This window comes from Homo sapiens, chromosome 3 (assembly GCF_000001405.40).
Source record: "Homo sapiens chromosome 3, GRCh38.p14 Primary Assembly".
Lineage (NCBI taxonomy): Eukaryota > Metazoa > Chordata > Mammalia > Primates > Hominidae > Homo > Homo sapiens.
Genome location: NC_000003.12, coordinates 185,013,107 through 185,033,697, shown reverse-complemented (window position 1 = coordinate 185,033,697; position 20,591 = coordinate 185,013,107). Strand labels below are relative to the sequence as shown.

At 41.0% G+C, this 20,591-nt stretch overlaps 1 protein-coding gene across 21 annotated transcripts in view; it reads right to left on the bottom strand.

Moving 5' to 3' along the window:
- The window catches only part of VPS8 (VPS8 subunit of CORVET complex), a 240,449-nt gene that overhangs the window by 18,917 nt on the left and 200,941 nt on the right, over nt 1-20,591 (bottom strand). For all 21 annotated transcript variants that reach the window (NR_146113.2, XM_047447824.1, XM_024453426.2 and 18 more), the window contains one exon: nt 9,309-9,362. Coding sequence is in view for 20 of the 21 variants with exons in the window: in XM_047447824.1 (XP_047303780.1) it covers nt 9,309-9,362 (54 nt within the window). In the remaining variant the exon portion in view is untranslated. The remainder of the gene's footprint in view (nt 1-9,308; nt 9,363-20,591) is intronic.

The following is a 20,591-nucleotide window of genomic DNA, read 5'->3' as shown; positions in this document are numbered from 1 at the left end:
TTTGGCAATTTAAAAAATGTAAAGATAGTCTTACCATATAATCCAGCAATCATGGTCCTAGGTATTTACACAAATGAGTTGAGATGCCCATGCAAAATCCTACACATGGCTATTTACTGCAGCTTTAGTCACGATTGTCAAAACATAGAAGCAACTAGGATGTCCCGCAGTAGGTGAATGGATAAACAAATTATAGTCCAAGCAGACAAGAGAATATCACTCAATGATAAAAAGAAAAGAGCTATTAAGCCATGCAGACACCAAGGAACCCTAAATGCTGACTGCTAAGTGAAAGACGCCAAGTTAGAAAGCCTATATACTATGCGATTACATGCCATTCTAGAAAAGGCAAAACTATGGATATAGTAAAAAGATTAGTAGTTACCGAAAGTTTGGGGAGAAGGCAGGATAAATAGGTGGAGCACAGGGATTTGGAGGGCAGTGAAGCTATTCTGTATGACGGTGTAATGGTGGATACATTTCATTATACATTTATCAGAACTCACAGAATATACAACAGAAAGAGTGAACCCTAATGTAAACCATGGACTTTAGTTAATAATGTATTAATATTGCCTCATCAATTAGAACAAGTGTATCCCATAGATGCAAGATGTTAATAATAGGGGCAACTGTGGGGGTGGGGAGGGAAAGCAAACATATGGGAACTCTGTGCTTACTGCTCCACTTTTCTGTAAACCTAAAACTACGGTACTCTTAAAAAATAAAGGGGCCGGGCGGGGTGGCTCACGCCTGTAATCCCAGCACTTTGGGAGGCCCAGGCAGGCGGATCACGAGGTCAGGAGATTGAGATCATCCTGGCTAACTCGGTGAAACCCCGTCTCTACTAAAAATACAAAAAAAATTAGCTGGGCTTGGTGGCGGACACCTGTAGTCCCAACTACTCGGGAGGCTGAGGCAGGAGAATGCCATGAACCCGGGAGGCGGAGCTTGCAGTAAGCCGAGATTGCGCCACTGCACTCCAGCCTGGGCGACAGAGCGAGACTTTGTCTCAAGAAAAAAAAAAAGGCTATTAATTACAAAAATTATTAACAAAATCAAACTGCTTATTAACTGATAACCAAATTTTGGTTAAGCTTCTTTCCTTTCCCCAAGACCCTGAACTCTGACCTATTCTCAGCCTGACCCAGAGTACAGAATCTCTCCTTTAAGGGTTGCTTCTGAGAATCGGCTGACCACAAGGAAAAGCATCTCTGATCAACTGTCCATTCCCTCCACCCACTCCTTCATACCTGGTTCTTTCTAGCTTTGTTTACCCACCCCATCTTATGAAATAAATTTCCTTTCTGTGTGATCTCTGAGACCCTTGCAGATCTTATGGTTGGAGCGTTCCCCTTACTGCAATAGCCCTCTCACCTCTATTGCAATGATTCTTCTGAATCAAGTCTCTCTTTACATAAATTCAGATTTTTCTTTGAAAGACAACACATTCTATTAGTTTAGGCTGTTTAGTTAGTTTTAACTAAAATCATTCACTACATCAGTGAACATGCAACTTGTTTGTTTTTTTTTTAAGACAAAATCTCGCTCTGTTGTCCAGGCTAGAGTGCAATGGCGCAATCTCAGCTCACTGCAACCTCCGCCTCCCGGGTTCAAGCAATTCTCCTGCCTCAGCCTCCCAAGTAGACTGGATTACAGGTGCCCACCATCACGCCTGGCTAATTTTTGTATTTTTAGTAGAGATAGGGTTTCATCATGTTGGTCAGGCTGGTCTCGAACTCCTGACCTCAAGTGATCTGCCCGTCTCGGCTTCCCAAAGTGCTGGGATTACAGGCGTCAGCCATCGAGCCCGGCTGCAACTTGTTTTTAATACAATTATAGACTCATAAGATTTTAATGCTTCAAGGGATCTAAAAATCAACTAGTCCAAACTCTGACCAAAGGCAGGAGTTTGACCAATAGATATTCTGTCACCGACCAAACACCTCTAGTAGTAGGTAATGTAGTGTCACTCAAGATACCTTGTTCTACCATTATGAAATTCTCATACCAAGCTGACATCTCCATTCACATAGTAGCTACCCACAGGTACCAGTTCTGTCCTCTCAACAATTAAGGATGCCTATGCTTTCTTCCAGTTAGTGTCCTCCAGATCATTGCCCTCCAGGTGTCTAAAGGCAACTAGACTCCAGCTTCTTCACATCCATAAAAAGGCATCTGTCTTGCTGAGGTTTTCAACTCTGCCGATGCAAAAACAAAGACCAAATCATGTTCTCTGTTTCCTTTTTTGGGGGTGGTGTTCAGTAGAGGCAATGAAGTCATATTTGGAGTCCTATTAAGACAAATACTCTAGAGAAAGAAGCATCTATATCGATCAAGGGCTATCATTTTGTTGTTTATGAGAACTCGCATCTTTGCAGGAAAGAGTTAAGGGTGAGGCATCAAAAGGTGAATGTATCTTTATTTTATTTAAGCTTCCATCAAATGATGGCTAGAAAATGCTGCATCTATCTCAGTGCTTTCTTCATTTCCCTTGACTTTTGTGAAACTATCAACCAGCCATTCTTAGGGCCAGCGAGCTGAGACACTGGGGCCAGCTTTTCTGGTTGTTATGGAAACAGTGGCTTTGTGAGGCTTTTTCCCTTAAAAAAAAAAAAAAAAAAAAAAAAAAAACGCCAACCTGTAATTCAACAAAAATTATGAGCAAGTATAGCTGTCTATATTGCTGACATGAGCAGCAAGACTGAGAATTGGTTATAAAAACCTTACTTCATAAGAACACCTGGAACAATGACCAAAAAAAAAAATCAGCCAGGCATGGTGGCTCATGCCTATAATCCCAATTACTCAGGAGGCTGAGGTGGGAGAATCGCTTGAGCCCAGGAGTCTGAGGCTGCAGTAAGCTATGATTGTGCCACTGCACTCCAGCCTTGGCAACACAGTGAGACATCGTCTCTTAAAAAACTCCAAAAATCAGCTCCAAATTCTTATAACGTACCTGAATACTTAACAAACTGAAAATCAACTTCTGAGAGGCTTGGCTATGATATCCACCAGTTCAGTCACCATTAACATGTAAATGTGCTGAGAGAAGGAACTGTATTTCTTCACTGTCCTTTGTCCCTCTGAACCCTGGCACCTAACAGGCTTGCGGAATATTTACTGAATGGACTCACAGAACTATTGGAAAGGCTTTCCACTCTCTCATTCCCTGTGCATTGTCCCTAACTGGAAGAAGTTACTTTGAGGAGAACAGCTGTGGACCTTCCAGTGGCACCACCAGCCTGAGGATAGTCTTCAGCCAGAGCACCTGGCCCCTCAGCTTCTGCAAACACACCAGCAGAGAAAGCGGATCTAAAACCAGGGGTTGCTCAGAGAGGTAACCATGTACCTGAGATCAAGACACAAGACAAAATGCTTTCTCTAGTTATCATAAATGTAACAGACCCAACTTTTCTGTGAACATTCTTGGTTGGTGTTTCTTTGGTAGTCAAGAAGAGATGCATCATAGCTGAGTGGTGTCTGATGCTGCCCCCAACTAACTCTCCTGATGTACCTTAAACGTTGTCAACACCTGCATTTGGATCTATCCTGGGGAGTTCATTGCAATGGGTTTTATGTCGATTTTTATCTGAAGGCAATGACTCCTGATTTTTACATTTCTGGTCATACATGATCAAACACTGTAAAGGTCCTAGGGAACCATGTGTATCTTCCAACTTCGTTACTGAAATTATCAATTAGAGCCCACTAAGAAGAAATTTTAAATAAAGTAAATACATACCAATTTTATATACAATAAATATTGCCAATTTAAAGCTTTTGTAAAGAATATCTATAATGCAAAATGCTAGTAAAAAGATACGTGTTGTGGGCAGGGCGTGGTAGCTCACGCCTGTAATCCCAGCACTCTGGGAAGCTGAGGTGGGAGGATCGCTTGAGGTCAGGAGTTTGAGACCAGCCTGGCCAACATGGTGAAACCCCTTCTCTCCTAAAAATACAAAAAAATTAGCTGGGTGTGGTGGTGTGTGCTTGTCCCAGCTACTTGGGAGGCTGCAGCAGCAGAACTGCTTGAACCTGGGAGGCGGAGGTTGCAGTGAACTGAGATCACACCACTGCACTCCAAGCCGGGCAACAGAGTGAGACTCCGTCTCAAAAAAAAAAAAAAAGATACATGTTGTGGAATGTGATGCACACTCTGACATGCAGCGGCAGAGTGGAACAGTGACATTCTAAAGAGTGACTCCTACATGAAATACCTAAAAAGAAGCCCCAGGAAGTTAGCTGAGTCCTACAGAACATGACTCTGGTTTCCTTAGCACTTGAATCCAGCTCTTGGCAGGGCCAATATTGACAGCAGAGTCACCAAACACTTCCTTCAGTTATCGGTCAACAGAGACTTTTTGGCTAAATGAAGAACACTGCTGCTTCCTTTGTGTTTCCTACACATGTCACTTTGGCAGTCACTCTGTTCAACAGACACTACTGCTGCTTCCATCTGTCAATGCAACTTTGGGAAGAGAGACTGTAGCTCAAGGATAAGAACCAGAATATATACATAGATGTACATGAGCATACAAGCATATCCACACAAAAATATATACCCAACTAAGGAAGTAATAATTAGGTGTTGAGTTTCACATTGATCTTCAGGTAAATCTCACTCGGAGTACTGGTGATTCAATAAGGAACTGACCATGCCTGGGAGACAAGCCTGAAACAGCAATGATGTTTCATTTATTTTTCCTCTAGTCATCAGAGCCAGAAATTTCTTTTCCCCCTCACTTCTCATAAACCACCAGGAAGTCCTGTGAAATCTCTTTCGTGCATCTCTCATTCATTCAACAACGACCGAGTGACTACTTTGTTCTACACTTACGGATACAACTGTAAACAAGACTGATGAGGTTACTGCTCTGCCCTCATGAGGCATATCGTCTAATGGGAGATGAGCATTAAGTAGAGAGGCAATCTCAACCCACCCAGGTATTGGTAGGGACTAATTCAGAGCGCTGTGAGCTCAGGGAAGGAAGGACACTTACTCAGACTTAAGGAGGGTGTCAGGGTTTTCTGAGAGAAAAAATAGCTAATATTTGAATCTATTTAATCTCTTTACTCCATTAACACAGCCTAGGGTTAGGATCTTTTTTCTTACCTGGACAAGTGTCTTACTCTTCCAATTGGTCTTTCTGCTTTCAGTCTTACCTTTGCTGGAAACCTTATCCTCAAGATAGAAAGCAAACTTCACAGACTGGGGCTCTTTGTGGTCTGAACCCCTGTTTATCTTTTACCAGACTTCTCCATGCTTTCACATTATACTGAAGACATGCAGAACCATTCCCATTTCTGACAATGTGTTACTCACTTCTATCTGCCTAGGTTACCATTTCCCTTGTTTCTTAAGGCTAGGTCAAGCTTTATCTTCGCTGGGAAGCCTTTCCTGACCCCTAATCTGGGATGGCCGCCCACTGACCCACTGTGATACATGTTTTCAAGTAACTAGAGACGACATAAACAGCATGATAATAAGTATGTGCTATGTAGTTTTGGGCTTCAACTCAGGGATGGTCAATGGCCCAAATTAAGAATCTATATTTCAGGAGAGTCCAGCTAACACGAACTCCGCAAGACAGCCACTAAAAAAAGCTCTTCAGCTATTCAGATGTTCACCAACACTAAGACTTGCCTCATTAGCTAAAAAATGGAAATATTTTTATTGGTGAAAGAAATGACTTGTTAACCGCCATGGTGAATATTGGAAATGGACTCTCATTGATAAAGTAAAAGGCATTTGAGATATGTATATTGAATAAAATATTTTAGAGATAGTCCCAAGTTTTGCATAAACCAGGAATAAGTCTGCATCTGATCACAAAGGAATGCTGCCCGGGCCACTTGTGTCCAGTCATTGGCTTAGGAAGCTTCTGTTTGCCTGATGCCGATTCTAAGAGTAACAAAACCCTGCTTCTGTAATGTCACATCCCTGACAGATGTCAGACACCTAAAATGACAAAGAGCTGGGACATTACTCAGTTTGAAAAATAGGTTGCAGAACCTATTTCTAAATGAGTATTTATTTAATAAATGCCTATATACATGGCAAAATTTGCTCTCACTCTGATAACAGTGTTGTAGGGGAGCAGCTAACGATTCCTCAAAGTTCTTCATGGAGGTTTCTGCCATAAAGAACGTAAGAGCCGGGTGCGGTGGCTCACGCCTGTAATCCCAGCACTTTGGGAGGCTGAGACAGGCGGATCACGAGGTCAGGAGATCGAGACCATCCTGGCTAACACAGTGAAACCCCGTCTCTACTAAAAATACAAAAAATTAGCCGGGCGTGGTGGCGGGCACCTGTAGTCCCAGCTACTTGGGAGGCTGAGGCAGGAGAATGGCGTGAACCCGGGAGGCGAAGCTTGCAGTGAGCCGAGATCGTGCCGCTGCACTCTAGCCTGGGCGACAGAGCGAGACTCCGTCTCAAAAAAAAAAAAAAAAAAAAAAAAAGAACATAAAAACTGCACTAAGTTAGCTTAGTCATCTCAAAATAGGGCCTTTCCTTGGCGCCTTCACAGAACCCTGTGCACCTTCCATGGTATGTGTCAAGGTGTTCGGTAACTATCAGTTTACCCGTCTACTTTTCTCAATAAATGCTGAGGTCTTTGAGAACAGGATTGTATTTCTTTTCTCTAGTCCACTGTTTATCTCAGTAAATAGTGTAAGGAAATATAGCTGGCTGGGCGTGGTGGCTCACGCCTGTAATCCCAGCACTTTGGGAGGCTGAGTTGGGTGGATCACGAAGTCAGGAGATTGAGACCATCATGGCCAACATGGTGAAATCCTGTCTCTACTGGAAATACAAAAAAATTAGCCAGGTGTGCTGGTGGGCACCTGCAGTCCCAGGTACTCAGGAGACTAAGGCAAGAGAATCGCTTGAACCCAGGAGGCGGAGGTTGCAGTGAGCCAAGATTGTGCCACTGCACTCCAGCCTGGGCGACAGAGTGAGACTCTGTCTCAAAAAAAAAAAAAAAAAAAAAAAAAGACAGTGGCTCATGCCTGTAATCCCAGCACTTTGGGAGGCCAAGGCGGATGGATCATGAGGTCAGGAGTTCGAGACCAGCTGACCAACATGGTGAAACCCTGTCTCTACTAAAAATACAAAAACTGGCTGGGTGTGGTGGTGCGTCCCTGTGATCCCAGCTACTCAGGAGGCTGAGGCAGGAGAATCGCTTGAACACGGGAGGCAGAGGTTACAGTGAGCTGAGATCATGTGACTGCACTCCAGCCTGGGCAACAGAGGGAAACTCCATCTCAAAAAAAAAAAAAAAAAAAGAAATACAGCCATCCCTCGATATCTGTGGGGAATTTACTCTAGGACCTCCTGTGGATGCCAAAATCCATGGATGCTCAAGTCCTTTAAAATGCATGGTATTTGCATATAACCAGTGCACATCCTCCCATGTATTTTAAATCATCTTTAGATTACTTATAATACCCAATACAATGTAAATAGTTGTACTGTTTTTTATTGTTGTATCATTATTTTTTTTATCATTTTTCCCCCATATATCTTCAATCTGTGGTTGGTTGAATCCACAGATGCAGAACCCACAAATGTGAAGGGCAGACTATACTTGCTGAATGAACAATATTATACAAGCAGCATGATAAAGTAAGAGGACATCTGATTAGGAGCTGGGAGACCTGCATTTTAATACTAGTGTCAACAACAGCTTGAGTACTTACTATATGTCAAACATAGTATTATACTCTTAAGCAGTAGACTATTTCATTTAATCTTCAGGACAATTCTGAGAGTAGCATCACCATTTTACATAAGACGAAACAGAGGGGCCAATTTACACAAGGTCACTCAGATAAATAAGCAGAAGAGTAAATCTTCGAACCCAAGTCTGGTGGTATCCAAGGCACACGCTTGACATCACTATGTTAGAAGTGTGTTCCATAGCTAACATTGGAGAGCTAAGACAAAAAATTGGAATCCCTCTGGATTTCCATTTCCTCGTCTACTTACTGAGTGAGACTAAAATGACAGGCTCCCCCAGCTCTTTGCGTTACAGTGTGATGGTTCTAAGTATCAACAGTCATTGCCTCAGTCTCGCCTGCCCCTACTGCCTTGACAAGAGTGAAAGAGATTTTTATGTGCAGTATGTTATAGGTCTTTTCAGACAACATATTTTGTTTTTATTCTCTTCTCTTCTGAAAAAGTCTCAGGGGATTCTGAAGTCAGAGGAGGGGGACCCATTTTTGGAACATTGCTTTGAAGCTAAAACCTCCTGTTAGTCAACAGAGCCAGCAGGTGGTTATTTTTGTTCTACAGTCCTTCACTGATATGGATGCTGGCTGAAATGGCAAAAAAGGGCAAGGGAAAGAAACACTTCGACTATTAGAGAAAGAAAAATGATGAAAGAAACAAGCAAAAATGTCAATTTGTTTACCATGTTTCAACTGCACTTTTACAGCTGGATAAAGGAAAAGGATTTTAGTGGTTCTCTTGACATCATCTATGCATCACTCAGATAAGGTGTAAAACCGTCAGTCATACCCTATCTGTGGTCACAAAGCTTACAGTCAGGAACTGAAGTAGCACACATGAGAGCTCTCTTCTGCCAGCATTTATTGAAGACCTTCTTATGTGCTGTTACTATCTCAGGCCAGTTTTTTTAGGCACAGCTCTCTAGAAGTAAAGCACATTTTTTCTTTTTCTTTTTCTTTTTTTGAGATGGAGTTTCACTCTTGTTGCCCAGGCTGGAGTGCAGTGGCTCGATCTTGACTCACTGCAACCTCCGCCTCCCGGGTTCAAGCAATTCTCCTGCCTCAGCCTCCTGAGTAGCTGGGATTACAGGCATGCACCACCACGCCGAGCTAATTTTCTATTTTTAGTAGAGACAGGGTTTCATCATGTTGGCCAGGCTGGTCTTGAACTCCTGACCTCAGATGATCCATCCACCTCAGCCTCCCAAAGTGCTGGGATTACAGGCATGAGCCTCTGCACCCAGTCGAAGTAAAGCACATTATTAAGATAAACTATATAGCTTTCCTGTGAATATCTTTCACCTACTACCACTCATTGATACCACGATACCATGCCTGGAAGATGGACATTCTAGAAACTGATAGTTGCTAGGAGACTGATGTCGAAACCCAACTTGGTTTCTCTGGAGAAGCCAAAGAGGAGGCCTGGAGACATGTCATTAAAGCATCTAATCAGAAATAACCCTTGACAGCATTAAGATGATTAAAAATCATTGCCATGTTGAGAATATTGTTCCACATAGGAGAATAAACATACAGAAGGAAGAACTGGTTTTTTGCCTTTAAAACAAACTCACCTTTTTAGCAGTGGGATCCCCTTTGGACTGATGATACGATGGAGACATTTTTACCTGGAAAAAAAAGGCAAACATTTTAATACCCTTTCAGTTATAGTCTAGTTTTGTCTGACCCACATTCAAAATAATTCAACTAGAATTGGTATAACTAAGATAAAACAGACATTTCCAGAGGAAATTAATAGATTAATAGATTTTGTGTTAAGTCCCCTTGAAATTTTTCTGGAGATCAAAAAATCAGTAGTGAACCAAGAAAAAAATATGATTTGGGTAAGAAAAGTGGGTCTAGATTGGTTTTAACCAAATGGTGAGGGATTAAATAGATAATAGATCTTTGGTGATGATGTTAAGCAAATGAAGTAATAAACAATGATCAGCATTTCTTGCAGAAGGCAACTCAAAATCTCTACTGTGATGTAATATCCCTTTGAAGCAAAGCATGCACAGAAGAGTTTGATAATTGTGAAGGATTTAGAAAAAGTATCAGCCAAACCATAATAAGAGGATGTTTAGTCCAAGGAAGAAAAGATAATAGTACAGAAATATATTTAAATATTTGAAGAGCTGAAATACAGAGATTTTAGATTAGATAAATGAAAAAGACCTGACTACATGCTGCCTACAAGAAACACCATCTAAATATGAAGGCTCAAATAGGTTAAAAGGAAAAGGATGGCGACAATATGCCATGATAGCACTACATTTTTTTTTTAATTATTTATTTATTTTTTGAGACAGAGTTTCGCTTCTGTTGCTCAGGCTGGAGTGCAATGGCACGATCTTGGCTCATTGCAACCTCCGCCTCCCAGGTTCAGTGATTCTCCTGCCTCAGCCTCCCAATTAGCTGGGATTACAGGTATGCGCCACCATGCCTGGCTAATTTTTTGTATTTAGTAGAGATCACCTGACCTCAGATGACTGCCCGTCTTGGCCTCCCAGAGTGTTGGGATTACAGGCATGAGCTGCGTCCAGCCAATAGCACTAGATTTTAGAGCAAAGACTACTATCAGGTCCAAAAAGGGTCATCCCATAATAATAAAGGGGTCAATTCATTAGGAAGACACAACAATGCTAAACATCTATGTACCTAATAGCTTAAAAATACATGATGCAATCATGCAAATAACTATGCTGAGTGAAAGAAGTCAGATAAAAAAAAGTATATCTATTTTATAGTTTCATTAATCTAAAATTCGAGAAAATCCAAACTAATCTACTGTTTAATTAATTTGTAAAGATAATCAGTGGTTGCCAGGGAACAGGAGAGAGGGATTAAGTAAATTTTTGGTGGTGATGGGTAGAGTCATTATCTTGATTGTGGTGACAGATTCATGAGTGTATACATATGTCAAATTTGTACACTTTATGTATGTCCAGTTTATATCAGTTATTATACCTCAATAAAGCATTTAAAGAAATTTGAAGTATATAACTAAAACAGTGGTTAAAGAATTTACAGCCCATATGTTATATTGGAAAATAAGAAAGGTTTAAAATAAAGGATCCAAATTTCCAATTTAGGGAACTAGAAAGAGATCAAAGTAAAACCAAACTAAGTAGGAAAGAAGTAAATAATAAGCAGCAAAAATCAATGAAATAAAAATAAAAATAAACAACCAAGATAATTATCAGAGTCAACATTGGTTCTCTTTGAAAAGATAAATAAAATTGATAATCTGCTATGGAGCTTGATCAAGAAAAGGAGACTATAAATTACCAGTATCAGCAATGAAAGAGGATATATTACAACATGCAACATCATTTACAGGTATTTAAAAGATGATAAGAACCTTTTGTGAATAATTTTATGCCAATAAGCTTGACAAATTAAATGAAAAGGAATGAAAGGATACATTCATTAAAAACAGAACTTACAAAAATGGACCCAAAACAGAAAATATGAATAGCCTTATATCTATTAAATAAATTCAGTTTGTTATCAAACATCCTTCTGCAATGAAAATTCCTAGCCGACAGGGTTTCAGCAGTGAATTCTAGCAAAAACATTAAATATACAGAGACCAGAATATCTATTTATTAATTTACAGGGGTTAGTCCATTCTCATGCTGCTATTAAGAAATTCCTGTGACTGGGCAATTTATAGGAAAGAGGTTTAATTGACTCAGTTCCACATGGCTGGGAAGGCTTCAGGAAACTTAAAATCATGGTGAAGGGGAAGCAAATACGTCCTTCTTTACAAGGCAGCAGGAGAGAGAAGTGCCAAGCAAAAGGGGAAAAGCCCCTTATAAAACCATCAGATCTCATGAGAGCTCACTCACTATCACAAGAACAGCATAAGGGTAACCGCCCCCATGATTCAATTACCTCCCACCAGGTCCCTTTCCCGACACATGGAGATTATGGGAACTACAATTCAAGATGAGATTTGTGTGGGGACATGGCCAAACCATATCAAGGGCAAAATATAATTATTACTATAAGTAGTTCAATGGATACTCGATACTATCTGACTAGAATGAGGTGCTGGTAAACAGTTACAAGATCTCAAGCCTCTTTCAACTCTGCCTAATTATAAGAGACTACAGTACAGATGATATATACTATAGGAAATATACTATTTCCTATCACTGTCGCCATCGCTATTCAAGTAGGACCACGTTGCAGGTTTTGTTTAACCTCTCTGATTTTAAGAATAACTTTAGAAAACACATCTCAGCTCAACAATCAAAACTGCTAGCTGTCCAGACTGTCCTTTCAGATTGAGCAGATCTGCAAAAATTAGACTTGACAGTCTTTGCTGTAACATACCATGACATTAATACGCTGGAATTCACTCCAGATGTATGATGTAGCTTGCTAAAAATGATCCAATTTTAACTTCTGGTATGCTCTTTTTGAAAAGGGAGAAAACAGATTTTCAAAGCAAAGTAGATATTTAAGCTTAAAAAAGTGACCTCATGAAAGAATCTGCAGACTTTTAAAAACAAGCCAAGAACTAGATGTGGTGGTGGACAATTTATATGAGAAGCCTGTTCTCTAGAGATTAAGTCAGAATATGTTTGAAGTGGCAATGGAAGTGGTCCAGCATCCCTCATGAAAGGCCTTATTTTTTCATTTAACAGGATTCCTTCTGGAAATGCCCCAGGCAATGAAGCTTAAAAGAGACATTTTAAATCCAGGTATGCAGACACTAGATCTGGGGATACGGATGATATACGAAGCTAGGGCCTTAATAATGTTGAACTTTTTGTGATCTTTGTTAATAAAATGATTCCTGACTTAATGAAGCAATCTGAGCTGAAGTTTAAAAGCAATATGAATATCTTCTTTATCATCTTGTTTTTTGGTTTTTTTTGAGATGGAGTCTTGCTCTGGTTGCCCCAGCTGGAGTGCAATGGCACGATCTCAGCTCACTGCAACCTCCAACTCCTGGGTTCAAGTGATTCTCCTGCTTCAGCCTCCCAAATAGCTGGGATTACAGGTGCACCCCACCATGCCCGGCTAATTTTTGTATTTTTAGTAGAGACGGGGTTTCACCATGTTGGTCAGCTGGTGTCGAACTCCTGACCTCAGATAATCCACCCACCTTGGCCTCCCAAAATGTTGGAATTACAGGCGTGAGCCACCACAGCTGGCTTTTGTTGTTGTTGTTAAAATAGGGCTAGGAATGGTATCTTATACCTGTAATACCAGCAATTTGGGAGGCCAAAAGGAGGTTGGCTTGAGCCTAGGAATTTGAGACCAGTCTGGGTAACATGGCGAAACCCCATTTCCACAAAAAATTTAAAAATTAGCCTGGAGTGCTGGTGTGCACCTGAGGTCTCAGTTACTTGGGAGGGTGAGGTGGGAGGACTGCTTGAGCCCGGGAGGTCCAGGATGCAGTGAACTATGATCACAACACTGTACTCCAGTCTAGGCAACAGAGTGAGGCCTTTTTAAATGCAAAAAAAAAAAAAAAGCCTTAATTTTACTGATTACAAAAGAAATACATGTTCAGTGACAGAAATTTAAGAAATATAACAGCTCAAACAAAGCAAATAAAAAGCACAATCCAATCACACAGCAACAACTGCTATTAAAATTTGGAATCACTGCTTTGTGATCTTTCTATGTTGCACATTATGAATGTTTACTTCGACATATCAATATTCTTCTATGATATGATTTTTCATGGCTACAAAGCAGTTCATTCACTGCCTAGACATACCATAACTAATTTAATCAACTGTGGGCTATTGGGACATTTAGGTTATTTTCAATTTTTAAAAATTATTTTTTAAGATGTTGTATCCTCATATATAATATTTGGCACACAAACTTGATAATTTCTGTTGGACAGATGGACAGATTCTTGTAAGTCCCTGCTTAAAAGCGTGTAACCATTTAAAAATACATATTACTACTTTTTCTTCAGGTAAGTAAGATGGGCCACAACTCCCTTTCCTATAATTCTGAAATCCAAAAAGCTCTGAAACCAAAGGATTGTTTAAAAAATATTTTTCACACCAAAAGTCATCTGGCAGCAAAACCTGGCCTGAACCAAAGTGACGCTATTTATAGTCTTCACTTATCTCTCAAAAGCATTTAATTATGAAATAAAGACTAGTCCATACCAGGAATTGTTGGGAACAGGTACCCAAATCTGGCCACAAACTGGCCCCAAAATTGGCCATAAACAAAATCTCTACAGCATTGTGACATGCTCGTGATGGCCATGACGCCCACGCTGGAAGGTTGTGGGTTTACCAGAATGAGGGCAAGGAACACCTGGCCCACCCAGGGTGGAAAACCACTTAAGGTGTTCTTAAACCCCAAACAATAGCATGAGCGATCTGTGCCTTAAGGACATGTTCCTGTTGCAGATAACTAGCCAGACCCATCCCTTTATTTCGGCCCATCCCTTTATTTCCTGTAAGAAATGCTTTTAGTTAATCTATAATTTATAGAAACAATGCTTATCACTGGCTTGCTGTCAATAAATATGTAGGTAAATCTCTGTTAGAGGCTCTCAGCTCTGAAGGCTGAGACTCCTGATTTTCCACTCCACACACTGTATTTCTGTGTGTGTGTGTGTGTGTGTCTTTAATTCCTCTAGTGCCGCTGGGTTAGGGTCTCCCTGACCGAGCTGGTCTCGGCAAGTGGTGCTCAAACATGGGGGCTCAAACCTGGGTTGAAGGGTCGCCGGAGTGATGGTTGGAGAACGTGGAACTAAGCTGGAGGACACTGAGTACTCTTAAGCAATCCCCATGGTGAGTAAGAAGGGGAGCTTGGGAGCATCAGGGTAACAATGGGACAAGTGTGGGCTCTGGTTTGTTCCACCTTGGAACCTTTTCACTCTAATGATGAGGAGGAAGGAGAGTACAACGAAGTAACAGAAGAGGTAACAGAGCAGGTCTGTTTGCCAGCTAAAGCTAAAGCAGCAAAGGAGGATAAGGTTCATCCGTACCCTTCTACACCCCCTCATTATTTTGAAGAAAAAGAGTGGCTTGATCCTCCAGATCTTTCTTTTCCAGAGGACATATGGGCAAAAAGTAGTTGCCCCAGTGACTGTTCGAGCAGCGCCTCGAGCGACCACTCTCAGTTCTATTCAGGCAGGAATTCAGCAAGCTAGAAGAGAAGGTGATTTAGAGGCTTGGCAGTTCCCTGTTAGAATACACCCCCCAGATTAACAGGGAAATATTATAGCTACATTTGAGCCGTTTCCTTTTAAATTACTCAAAGAATTTAAACAAGCTATTAATCAATATGGACCAGGTTCTCCTCTTGTAATGGGACTGTTAAAGAAGGTTGCTGTTTCCAGTCAGATGATTCCTACTGACTGGGACGCTCTTATTCGAGCTTGTCTAACTCCTGCTCAGTTCTTACAATTTAAAACTTGGTGGGCAGATGAAACTTCCATTCAGGCTGCTTGCAACGCCCAGGCCCAACCGCAAATTAATGTAACTGCAGACCAACTTTTGGGGGTTGGCAGCTGGGCTGGTTTAGATGCCCAAGTGGTCATGCAGGATGATGCCACAGAGCAGCTTAGAGTAGTGTGAATTAGGGCTTGGGAAAAAATCACTTCAGGTGCAGAACAATATCCTTCCTTTAGTGCTGTAAAGCAGGGACTGAAAGAACCGTATGCAGATTTTATGGCTCGGTTACAGGAGTCTCTTAAAAAGGTGATTGCAGATCCGGCTGCTCAGGAAATAGTGTTGCAGTTATTAGCTTTTGACAATGCTAATCCCGATTGCCAGGCTGCTCTGCGACCTGTTAAAGGGAAAGCACATTTAGTTGATTCTATCAAGGCCTGTGACGGTATTGGAGGTAATCTGCATAAGGCTACTCTGCTAGCACAGGCAATGGCAGGACTGAGAGTGGATAAAGGAAATACTCCATTTCCTGGAGCTTGTTTTAACTGTGGGAAGCATGGTCATACTAAAAAAGAATGTAGAAAAAATCAGCAAGTCAGGCCACCAGTTGAGGGAAAAAATGAAAACTGCTGAGCCTGAAATATGTCCAAAATGTAAAAAAGGAAAACACTGGGCTAATCAGTGTCACTCTAAGTTTGATAAAGATGGGAACCTGATTTCGGGAAACGTCATGAAGGGCCGTCCTGGGCCCCATTCCAAACCGGGACCTTTCCGGCTCAGGCCATTCCCTCACCCCCGTACAATGTCTGTCCCCCGCCACAGCCGGTAGTGCCACAGTAGATTTACGCTGCACAAAAGCTGTGAGCCTTCTGCCTGGGAACCCCCGCAAAAGGTCCCAACAGGGCTCTGTGGACCCTTGCCAGCGGGGACGATAGGATTACTTTTAGGAAGGTCTAGTTTAAATTTAAAAGGAGTGCAAACACATACAGGAGTCATTGATTCAGATTACAATGAGGAAATTCAAATTGTTACATCTACTTCTGTTCCCTGGAAAGCAGAGCCAGGACAGTGTATGGCACAGCTCCTGATTGTGCCGTATGTGGAAATGGGGAAAGGTGAAATTAAACGAACAGGAGGATTTGGAAGCACAAATAAACAAGACAAAGCAGCTTATTGGGTAAATCAGATTACTGATAAACATCCTACCTGTGAAATAACTATTCAGGGAAAGAAATTTAAGGGTTTGGTAGATACAGGAGCAGACATTTCAATCATTTCTCTATAGCACTGGCCGTCCACGTGGCCAATTCAACCTGCTCAATTTAACATAGCTGGAGTTGGTAAAGCCCCTGAAGTATTATCAAAGTAGTTATATTTTGCATTGTGAAGGGCCCGATGGACAACCTGGACTATTCAACCAATTATAACTTCTGTACCTATAAGTTTATAGGGAAGAGATTTATTACAACAATGGGGAGCACAAGTTCTAATTCCAGAACAATTATATAGCCCTCAAAGGCAACATATGATGCATGAAATGGGGTATGTCCTTGGTATGAGACTAGGAAAAAATTTACAAGGTTTGAAGGAACCGCTTCAAGCAGAAAGACGAAGTTCCTACCAAAGTTTAGGATATCATTTCTGATGGTGGCCATTGTTAAGCCTCCAGAACCTACACCTTTAAAATGGTTAACAGATAAGCCAATTTGGATAGAACAATGGCCGCTAAGAAAGAGAAACTGGAGGCTTTAGAGAAATTAGTTACTGAACAATTAGAAAACGGACACATAGCTCCAACATTTTCCCCTTGGAATTCTCCAGTTTTTGTAATTAAGAAAAAATCAGGGAAATGGAGAATGTTAACTGATTTAAGAGCCATTAATTCAGTCATACAACCAATGGGGACATTACAGCCAGGATTGCCTTCTCCCGCTATGATTCTGAAAAATTGGCCTTTAATAGTCATAGATTTAAAAGACTATTTCTTTACTATCCTCTTAGCTGAGCAGGACTGTGAACAGTTTGCATTTACAATTCCTGCAGTAAACAACCTGCAGCCTGCTAAGCGTTTTCATTGGAAAGTGTTGCTACAAGGCATGTTAAACAGTCCAACAATTTGCCAGACGTATGTAGGACAAGCAATTGAACCCACTCGTAAAAAATTTTCACAGTGTTACATTATTCATTATATGGATATATACTTTGTGCTGCCCCATTCGAGAAATATTACTCCAATGTTATGATCACTTGCAAAATTCGATTTCTCACACTGGTTTAACTATAGCTTCTGACAGAATTCAGACTACTATTCCTTAATCCTACTTAGGGGCCTTAGTAAATGACACTACATTGTGCCACAGAAAGTAACGATACGTAGGGATCAACTGAAAACATTAGATGGCTTTCAAAAATTACTAGGGGACATTAATTGGATATGACCTGCTCTAGGCATTCCTACCTACGCCATGAGTAATCTATTTTCTATCCTTAGAGGAGATCCTAGTCTCACTAGCCCTCGGCAACTAACAAAAGACGCTGAGGCAGAGCTGCAGCTAATCAAAAAGCAAGACCATAAAGCTCAAATAAATAGAATAGATCCAGAGAAGACTCTAGATTTGCTAATTTTTCCAACTCAGCATTCACCCACTGGTGTTATTGCCCAAGAGCAGGACTTAGTGGAATGGCTTTTTCTTCCACATACTAATTCACGGACTAACTCCTTATTTGGATCAAATTGCTACTATGATAGGAAATGGGAGAACTCGGATTGTTAAATTACATGGATATGATCCTGGAAAAATTACTGTCCCTCTCAGGAAAGCAGAAATACAGCAAGCTTTTATAAATGGTCTTACTTGGCAAACCCATTTAGCTGACTTTGTGGGTATTCTCGATAACTCTTTTCCTAAAACAAAACTTTCAATTTTTGAAATTAACTAATTGGATTCTCCCTAAAATAACTACATTTAAACCAATTGAAGGTGCTGAGAATGTTTTTACAGATGGGTCTAGTAATGGTAAAGCTTCTTATTCTGGATCAACAGGTAAAGTTTTTCAGACACCCTATACTTCACCTCAAAAGGTGGAGCTTGTAGCTGTAATTGAGGTATTGACTGCTTTTGATATGCCTGTTAATGTGATTTCTGATTCTTCATACGTGGTTCATTCCACACAGTTAATTGAAAATGCTCAGTTACGATTTCATATAGATGAACAACTGATGACTTTATTTACCCAATTGCAAACAGCAGTTAGAATTAGAATGCACCCTTTTTATATCACTCACATTAGGGCTCATACACCTCTTTCTTCCAGGACCATTAACTGCAGGGAATCAAATGGCTGATCACCTAGTATCTAATGCTAGACACTTTCACAATTTAACCCATGTTAACGCCTCTGGTCTCAAACGCAGATACAGCATTACCTGGAAACAAGCTAAAGCTATTATCCAGCGATGCCCAACTTGCCAAATGGTGCATTCCTCATCTTTTACAGTAAAAGAGGAGTTAATCCTCGAGGACTGGAACCTAATTCTCTTTGGCTAATGGATGTCATACATGTTCCCTCGTTTGGGAGACTAGCTTATGTACATGTATGTGTGGACACCTTTTCTCACTTTGTCTGGGCTACATGCCAATCAGGAGAGTCTTCTGCCTGTGTTAAAGATCACCTTTTCCAGTGTTTTGCGGTGATGGGCATTCCAGCTTCTATTAAAACAGATAATGCCCCAGGCTATACTAGCCAAGCTCTAGCTACATTTTTCTCTACATGGAATATTAAACACATTACTGGCATCCCATGTAATTTTCAAGGACAAACCATAGTGGAAAGAATGAATCTCTCCCTAAAACAGCAGTTACAAAAACAAAAAAGGGGGGAGAAACAGGGACTATGGGACACCTCATATGCAACTGAATCTAGCATTACTAACTTTAAATTTTTTGAGCCTGTCTAAAGGCCAGATGCTATCAGCAGCTGAACAGCATCTACAGAAACCAGCTGCAAAGACAGAAGCAGAATAACTGGTTTGGTGGAGAGATCTGATAGCAAAAACTTGGCAAATAGGTAAAATAATAACTTGGGATAAAGGTTATGCTTGCGTTTCTCCAGGACCGAATCAACAGCCGATTTGGATACCATCAAGACACCTGAAACCTTATCATGAGCCAGATGCCGAGGAAGAGACTCTGGGAGGAACCTGAGGACCCCCTGGTTGCAGCCATGTCGAGACTGATGCTGAGGAGGACCCCAACTGTCATGAGCAACACCCGTCGAACACAGCCACCTACTTAGGGACAGATCAAGAAGCTGTCACAGATGGTGGAAGAAAACCTGAGGAAAGCAAGACAACCAGTCACAATGAGTAACTTAATGGTAGCTATGATAGTGGTGATTACCATTGCCGTGAGTATTCCTTCAACAAGGGCTGACACAGAGAACAATTATACTTATTGGGCATATTTATCCATTTTGGCTGGCAATAATGCCTGTATGTAATCACTCTATGACACAGTTACACATGCTTTCTGATCTCAGGATTTACCATAATAAAGCTATTCCTATAAGTGAGAGATACTGCCCTCAAAAACCTATTTGTAAACAGGACTGGTCCCAGTTAGAAAAAATGAATGTACTTGTTTGGGAAGATTGCATTGCAGAAAAGGCAGAGGTGCTGCACAACGATTCCCATGGAATCATTATTGACTGGTCCCCTAAGGGGATGTTTAGCTTAAATTGCACATCTGTCTGTGTGCCATGGCCACACTGTGTTCAGCTGGTCTGAACAAAATGGTCAGATGGTAGAAATGGTAAGAAGTACGGTAAGAGTTCCTATTATCTGGAACCATGGCGGTATAGTGGCACCTCAACCTCAAATGATATGGCCCGTTGTAGGAGCTAAACATAAGGATTTGTGGAAACTATGAATAGCTCTTAATAAGATCAAAATTTAGGAAAGAATAAAAAAGCATCTAGAAGGACACTCTACAAACTTGTCTTCGGCTATTGCAAAATTAAAGAACAAATATTTAAAGTATCCCAGACACACCTGACCTTAATGCCAGGAACTGGAGTGCTTGAAGGAGCTGCAGACAAATTAGCAGCTAGTAACCCATTAAAATGGATAAAAACACTTGGAAGGTCTGTGATTTCAATGATGTTTGTGCTTTTAATCTGTGTTGTCTTTGTATAGTCTGCAGATGTGGATCCTGACTCTTAAGAGAAGTAGCTCACCATGCAAAGCTGCCTTTGCTTTTATCACTTTGCAAAACAAAGAAGGAGGACATGTTGGGAAGAGGCCCCCCAAATCTGGCCATAAACTGGCCCCCAAACTGGCCATAAACGAAATCTCTGCAGCACTGTGACATGCTCATGATGGCCATGACGCCCACACTGGAAGGTTGTGGATTTACCAGAATGAGGGCAAGGAACATCTGGCCTACCCAGGGTGGAAAACGCTTAAGGTGT